The following is an 8,621-nucleotide window of genomic DNA, read 5'->3' as shown; positions in this document are numbered from 1 at the left end:
CCACTCAATTTACTGTTTGTGTTTTTAATCCTTATGTCTTTTGGGCAGCTAAGAAGCACCAGCTTCAGGTAAACAATACCCATTTGACCTGTAAAGCTTGCCAGTTATATCACTGCATTAATCATAGCACATTGCAAACACATAATATCTCTACTTTGATTATTTTAGGACTCATCCCTGGGCTATGGATTCCTGTTAACCTGTCCAAGCCTTGGGCTGCCACACCTGCTTTGCACTGTGTGAAACTTCTTCTAACTCAGCTTACTCATCGTGTCCGTAAAGCTTTAGGCATGATAATTTTTGCTATTGTGTCCTTGGCCACACTAATAACTTCTGTTGTGAAATCTTCTGTAGCTTTGCATAGTTCTGTTTAAACAGCTCAGTACGAAGAGAACTGGACACATACAGCTAACCAAGCATGGCTACTTCAGAATAAAATTAACACTGAGTTACAAACTGAAGTGGCAACGTTATGATCCATGATTCTATGGTTAAAGGAACAAGTACAAAGCTTGCACTTGCAGCAGCAATTGCGTTGTCATTTTAATCACACCCATATTTGTGTAGCCAACTTAGAATATAACCAAAGTGAGTATCCATGGGACCTCGTGAAAGCCCATTTGCGGGGAGCTTTCACATCCAACATCACCTTTGATATTGGTGAATTATAAAACAAAACAAAATTCTTGATTTAAATAGGCAAACTCCAGAGTTTCAGCCTTCTTTAGAAGACCGGACCAAATTCCAGCAAGGCCTGGGGAGCCTCAACCCTTGGACCTATCTAAGGCACCACATTAACAGCTTATATGTAGTTCTTGGAATAATGTTGTTTTGTCTCTGTCTTCTGTTTATAGTCTGTAAAATCGGATGGACTGCCAATCGGAGAAAGAGCTGCCCAGCCTGGCCTTACATTCTTTCAATTAATTCATAAACAGAAAGGGGGATATGCAGGGAGCCGAGGGCCCATGGAACATGACCAACTCAGCATTCCACTGGAGGCTATATGATCAAACAGCAGACTGTTTATTATGAATGCAGGATGTGAGCAAACTCATGATTGCTCCTGCCGACAGAAGGTTTGGTGGAGGCAATTACTCTCTGGCTTTGCAGAGGTTATCTACTGCGACATGTAGAGAAGGCGGTCCTGCAAGCCTACTCTGGACCGAGCAGCTGACCCCTTCTTCCACCCTCTTCTCACTATCTCTTTTGCCTAATAAATATGGAGGGCTGTGTAAATCTCAGGGCCCTTGTCCACTAGAGGCAAGGTGCCCCCTGACCCCTTCTTCCAAATATACTCTTTTATCTCTTGTCTTTTATTCCCGCGTTCACCTGCTTTGGGTTCAGTCCAGTGGGTCCACGCGGGTTACACTTCTGCACTAGGGAGATAGGAGGAGACAGGTTTTTACATGTCCTCCAGTTCTTACTTTTACACAGTTATTTGAACCCAGCATTCTTCTCTGATCGGCTTCCCTTGGGGGAACATGAATGCCAGGATGCTGAGGGCTTTGCCCCAGCCTCAGCCCCTGTCCCAGGTACCCTGTGGCTCAATGGGTTTCCAGGGGGTTACCTTCTAGTCCCTGACTTTTCTCAGCCATGAAGGCTTCACACAGGTCTCCCTGAGTCTCCATGGTCAGAATGCCTAAGTGCGGGACTCTGGAGCCTTGTGGCCTGGGTTTGAATTACAGCTCTACCATTACTTACTGTGTGACTTTGGACAAATTCCTTGATGTCTCCTTGCCTCAGTTTCCTAACCTATAAAATATAGATAATGATAGTACCTAGTTCATAATTACAGCAGTTCCCTCTTACCTGTGATTTTGCTTGGGACAGTTTCAGTTTTCTGAGGTCAGAAAGTATGAAATGGAAAATTCCAGAAAGAAACGATTCAGAGGTTTGAAATTGCCCGCCATTTTGAGTAGTGTGATGAAATCTCATGCCACCCTCCTCTGTCTCACCCAGGACATGAATCCTCCTTTGCCCCAGCGTATCCACACTGTCTACACTTCCTGCCTGTTTGTCTCTTAGTAGCTGTTTCTGTTGTCTGATCATCACGGTATCACAGTACTTGTGTCCAAATCACCCGTATTTTACTGAATAATGTCCCCAAAATGCAAGAGTAGTGATGCTAGCATATTGTCAGAATTGTTCTATTTTATTACTAGTTATTGTTAATCTCTTACTGTGCCTAATTTAGAAATTAACCTTAGGTATAAGTATGTATGTATGTATGAAAAAAAAACAGAACATATAGGGTTTCATACTATCCATGGTTTCAGGCATCCACTGAGGGGCTTGGACTGTCTCCTGTGGATGAATGAGGCCACTGTAATTTATATATATAAGTGCTTAGAACAGTACCTGGCACCGATTCCATATACTATTAGAGTTTGCTATGATTGTTATTATAACAATTATTATGAGTGGGAGGAGCCAGTTGTTTTCCCACTAATATGTCCAGTGATTACAGCTCTTCCAGCAGAATCCTTTCAGATAAACATCACCCAGTTGTCCCCTCCTCCCGCAAGTCCTGTTGCCGCCTCCTCCCGCACTCCACGACACATTGAACAACCAAGTTGCTAAAACAAGAGGTAATGTTTTTGATAAACTTCAAATTACCTGCGTAGCCCAATGATTCCCAGGGAAATAGAAAGTCCTCATTATAAGCACGGTTGAGAATTCTGAAACTTCTCTAAAGTTGTAAAAAATGTGTCATCTGCCATTTCTTTGGTGGGTGTATTTTTACACGTCTCACAAGAGAGGTAAACAAACAAACAACAACAAAAAACAGGCTTAATGCTAACATGGAGTTGCCACTTCAGCAATGCAGCTTCATGTTACACTGATACATTACACATGCCTTACATGGTGTGACCAGTGTTTTGGGCACAAAGCACGCTGCTTCACATTTTTCAGATACGGGCAGTCATTCATTACCTTTCTTTATCCCTCTCCCATCATTTTCCATCCAAACCCCTGCTCTTAGTATGCCTCCTAGGGTTTTAAAGAGGCAATCCCATTAAAGCTTTCACAGCAGATTTGAATGACCAGTTGAATTAACCTTGGCCTCTCTCTTATTTGCATTTTAAAAGGAGAGTTTTTAATCTGAAGAGGCTTCTAATTTGTTGATTGGAGAGTGAGGAAATGCACTTTTCAAATGGCCTGTGGAATAGAGCTAGGCTGGACCTCAGGTGCCCTCCCACATTTTCACCAGTCCCTCTCCTCTCCCTCCAGCCCCCAGCACCACGGTGGCCTAGGTGGGTCTGTATGGGACACTTCCTGTGACCAGCCTCACATCCTCTCACCCCTCCGCTTTTTCTAGTGAGTACTGTAGCAACCTGCTTCCCACTGGTGCAACCTGAAAGCCCCTGACCTTAGTTGCATTCATACCTCTCACTTTTCTGCCCAGGGCTTCTCTGATACCTATAGAATCCATTTGGCATTCATGCTGTGTAGCCTGGAAGTGAGGGTGCTTTAATGCCCCAGGGAGACTGGAGCCCATGAGTAAATCTCTCCTCTTCTTTCACATGGGCAATTCTGAGGCACATTCTACCTGGTTCTCCAGTGTCCTTGTGGGATCGTGCCCCTGTGGCATGGCCCACAGGTTGACCAACTCCAGAACTCATGTATGAATCAGGTTTTCCTCCTCTGGGGCCCTCTCTCCCCAGTTCCCCACTCCTGTTCCCTGAGATCACTTATCAAAATAGACTCCCTGCTTTCTGGAGGGAACCAGGTTAAAACAGTGCCAAAGACCAGTAAACCTCCACCTGGCCATTCACCTTTATGCTGTTCAAGGGAGGATTAACATGTTTACAGACTACAATTTATAAAACAGAAATTTGGCAGAGTATTTGTGAACAATTAAGATAAACTCAATTGTTTGAAATTTAATGCAACTAATATTTGTTGGAGTTTAGCTAAAGCCAGGTGCAGAGCTAGGCTTTGGGCAGACAATAGCAAACGATCCCTCCCTGAGATTGTAACCTAATGTGTGTGGCTCCATCCCTCTGCCAATAGTTCCCCCGAGAGAGAACACAGGGTCCACCCTGCACATGAAAGGTAGGCACATTTCAGGGTGGGAGCTGCGCTAGGTGCAGGTCAGACTGCCTGAATTCACTCCCTGCTCTGTTACTTCTAGCTGGGTAAACTACCAAATCTAACCAAGACTCAGTTTCTTCCTCTTTGAAATGTGGAAATCTTCCTAGAGTCATTATGAAGACTAAATGAAAAAAAAAATGTATGTAATGGTCTTATTACGCCACCTGACATGTAGCAGGTATGCAGCCAATTCTAGCTCTGCAGTAAGTTATTGATTTCTTTGTGATGGGTTAGAGCAGTGAGGCTGTTGGTTTTAAATGAGAGGAGATGAAGAGGAATAAGCATGAAGGGGCTGCTATGCCTCTGCCCAACCTGGGTCTAGCTTGAATATTAGGGACATAAAAAGGAGAATTCTGCTAAGAAAGAAGTAATAACAACTAATTATTTTAACAGATGTTAAACTTTTGGTCACTTTTTTTTTTTTACTAAGCAATTTATACCATGTCTGTGTTTTTAAAGTATTACATTATGTTTACACATTTAGACTACTTCTGTAGGATGACAAATGTGTTCTTAAATGCTGGATATAATTTTAACTAAAAAATTGACATCCCTATACATTTTGTACCACGCTTTGGTTAGTTTTGTTTTAACCAATGCCTCCTTCTCTCTAATTATCCTAGTCAGTCAAAAGTTCCTTGTACCTTTCATTTACAATGCACAGCTGATTCTGGGGTGTCTCTGGAAAATTGCCTAACAGCCATTTAGTCAGAGATCATGAAGGAAAAACAAAGAGCTCCTAAGTTGGAGGATAAGGAGAAATGGATGAGTAGTGGGAGAAAGGAGATTGTGAAGGGATTCAAGCAAGAGGCTGATAAAGGCTAGTATATTCTTTCACTGAGAAAGGAGATGCCTACGTGTGGGCTGGAGAGGGCCAGCAAGACAGGGGACACGATATTTTTTTAATAATCTTGAAGCCATCTTGAACGTGCCCATCCCCTCCTTCCGCTGCCTGTATATCTGCACCTGTTGTTAAGGGCTTGGATGTCTCCCTCTCATGCCAAGCCTGCTGGTCTTCTCTGAAAGAAGGTTTTGCATTGTACCAGCAAAACTGAGGGCAGATAATTTTCCTTTGCTTTCATCTCTCACATTTCTGTACCCCTATCAATCACCTGTTTTTCCCAGGTAACTGTGAAGATACTTTTGGCCAAAGAGGGCATTCCCAACACTCTGCCAGAGGAACAGATGAAGGGTGAGTGAGAGGAATGGGTGGATAGGTGGGCTGGCTTAAAGGATGTCTTGCTATGTGCTTCTGGATTAGAGGGTACTGGCAGGCTTATAGAGATGTCTTTCTTCCCCAAGTCTCTCATTGGCTTTTTAGAGATGTTAGTATATCCTGAAATGAGTCAGTCAGTGCAACCAGATGATTTTCCTTCAGATGAATGGTTTGTTATACCTTCGCAGGTGTAAAAAGATTTATTAACTCATAATTTTATCAAGTAGTAATGTGCCAGTAAATATTTTAATAAGGTCACTAGTTCCACTACAATATGTTGTGTTTAATAGCCTTTAAAAGTGAAATGAAATGATCAGCTCTTAGTTACTCTCCTCCAACTTCCGTTAGGCTCAATGAAATTATCAGCTCTTAGTTACTGTCCTCCAACTTTCTTTAGGCTCAATGAAATTATCAGCTCTTACTTACTGTCCTCCAACTTTCTTTAGTCTCAATGAGGGACTTTCTATAAGTCAATGCCTTTCTTGCCCCCCATCTCCAACATGATTCCCCACTCCCACAACACTCTGCTGCATTCAAGACAAACTACAGTGTAGTGGTTCAGAACTAGCATTCTAGGACGAGAAAGATTAAAATTAGAATCCTAGCTTAGCCACCTATATGAGCTTGGAAGGGTTCCTTAACTAGGCTTAAGCCTCAGGATGCTTATCTATAAAATGACATCATTATCCTACCTCATACAGTTTCCCCCAAAGATTGGATGAGATTGTTAATGCACACATGGTGCCTAACAAGGTGTCTGGCAGGGAGTATGAACTAAATAATATTAGCTATTGTATTAATTATATATTATTGTGGAACGAATTTTCCCAAATCTTAGTGGCTTAAAACAACCAACATTTATGATCTCATATTGTCTGTGGCACAGGATCTGGGTACAACTAAGTTATGTGTCTCTACCTCAGGGTCTCTGACAAGGCTAATAATCAAGGTGTTGGTGGGGCTGCAGTCTCATCTGAAGGCTTGACTGAGGTTGGATCTGCTTCCAAGTTCACTCTTGTGATTGTTGGAAAGAGTCAGTTCCCTGTGGGCTGCTGGACTAAGGGACTCAGTTTCCCCCAGCTGTTGACTGGAGGGCTTCCTCAATTTCTTGAAATGTGAACCTCTGTATTGTGCAGCTCAAACATGGCAACTGGCTTCTATCAGTGTGAGAAAGCAAGAGGGCAAGGGAGGGCCAGCAAGACGGGAGACATGGTCTTTTTGTAATAATCTCAGAAGTGGCATTCAACTCCTTTTGTTATAATCTATTTATCAGAAGAAAGTCACTAGGTATAGACCACATTCAAGGGGAAAAGGATCATACAAAGGTGGACCACAAGGGAGTGAGTTTCACTGGGGGTCCATCTTAGAAGCTGCCCACGACAGCTATAGTTACTAATATTATGAAAAAGTAACTTTCCATTTCACAGCACCACATTTGGTCAAACCTCTACTTGAAAACCTTCCTTGCTTCCCCTTTGTTTATCACATAAAGTCCACATGCCTTGCATAACACATAAGACTTTGCAGCCCTGATCCCTTTTGCTCCTCTAGTTTCTTCTTGACATGTTGTCCAGACATTCCAGGATTCACAATGATGCTCCAGGAGATATATGTCATTGGAAGAGGTGATGGTTTCTATTTTAATTCCTAATTTCTAAACAAATCAATACACAAAATTATTTACCTATTTTTCTCTTTCAAAACAGAACAGGAGAGCCTTTGAGTGTGTAACAGGTGAAAATGTAAGATTTAAGAGTCAAAAATGTTGGAAGATGTTGCCATGCATATTCATGCTTCTGTGTTTTCTTGGGCTGTTGCTTCTCTTTTCTGTTTGGGGGACTCATAGTCATCCTTCAAACTCACACTTAGATCTCATCTTTTTTTTCAGTGAACACATCTTCAAGCTCCTCTGGCCTTATTCCCCTCCCCCTCACCTTCATCTCTTCTCTGTTTCCCTATAACATTTTAAATATACCCCTCTTGGGACACTTATCTTTTGTTATAGATGGTGTGCATAAAAAGTGTTCCATGAGATCCTGGGATTCCACACAAGAATGGGGATGGGGATGGGGATGGGGATGGGGATGGGGATAGGGTAAGCTTACTTTCTTAAATAGGTGGTCTGTTTGTGTTTTATTTCCTGCCCTGCCCATAGCCCCTTTCTGTGGAGACTTTCTTTGGCTGTAGACCTTGTTACCCAAGACATCCCTGCCTCTCCCCAGGAGGGGCCCTTGTCCCAGCAGCAGCTCCCCAGTGCAGAAATGCTGGATGTATTAGTCAGTGTGTCCAAGTTCATCAGCAGGCAAGTGGTGGAGCTGGGATTCAAACCCTGACAGTCTCCTGCATACCCTTGCATTTACTCTCTATACAGCTATAAACATTGCAAGGGGAATGACTCTTTAAGTACCTTTCATAGTCAACTTTTTGGGTTCTGACAGACAGGTGTTTCAATGATGTGAGGAAACCGTGGAATTTTTCCCCATGCTTTGAAACTATTTGAAAACCAATACTGAGTCAGAAATGTTTCCCTAAGGAGCATTTACTAGCAATTCTTACTGTCTCTGTGAATCACTCACAACAACTCTCTCCCTCTCTCTCTTTTCTCTTTCTCTCTCTCTCTCTGCCTGCATCTTTCTTGCAATAAACTATTTGGTTATGACAGGTTACTATTTTTTTGTCTTCATAAATGCCCTAGTACCTTGGGTTTACTATGGTTTATTACATATTTGTTTCTCAGTTGCAGATTTTGACCTTCTATATATTGAAGTCTTTCTCTAATTGGATTATACAATACAGGGTGGAAATGGACCCTGTTGTTTTTTTCCTGCCTGACACCCTGCTTCTTTTGAGAATGGTACCCATCCCATGCCAAATGATCCTGGTGGGACTACCCAGCTAGGTATCTTAATCCAACCCCCACCATAGGCACAGACCCGTGGTCCAGTCTAGGCCTGTCCTGATAGCAACAGTTACAGGTTTAGAGATGGGTGCAGAAACCACACTAGGCCAATCAGAGTTGCCCTGAAGTGCTACAGAGAAGTTGAGAGATGGAAATTCCCTCGTCGTTAAGTTGGGAATAAATAAATCTGCCATCGGGGGAGGCTTCCTCTTTGTCAGGTGGAAAGAGCTAGACTGTAGAAGAAGCCAACAGGGAAGTGGGACTGAGGGCTGAAAAGAGGGCTAGAGACCTCACCTATTGTTTAAGCTCTTGAATCCATCAGTGCCTGATGTAATTCCAAGCTACATAATCTAATAGCTACCCCTAAAACTAATTAGAACCGAGTTTTAATCATTCTACTGCCTGAAGTGA

This window comes from Homo sapiens, chromosome 11 (genome assembly GCF_000001405.40).
Source record: "Homo sapiens chromosome 11, GRCh38.p14 Primary Assembly".
Classification (NCBI taxonomy): domain Eukaryota; kingdom Metazoa; phylum Chordata; class Mammalia; order Primates; family Hominidae; genus Homo; species Homo sapiens.
Note: the sequence above shows the minus strand (reverse complement) of the source record.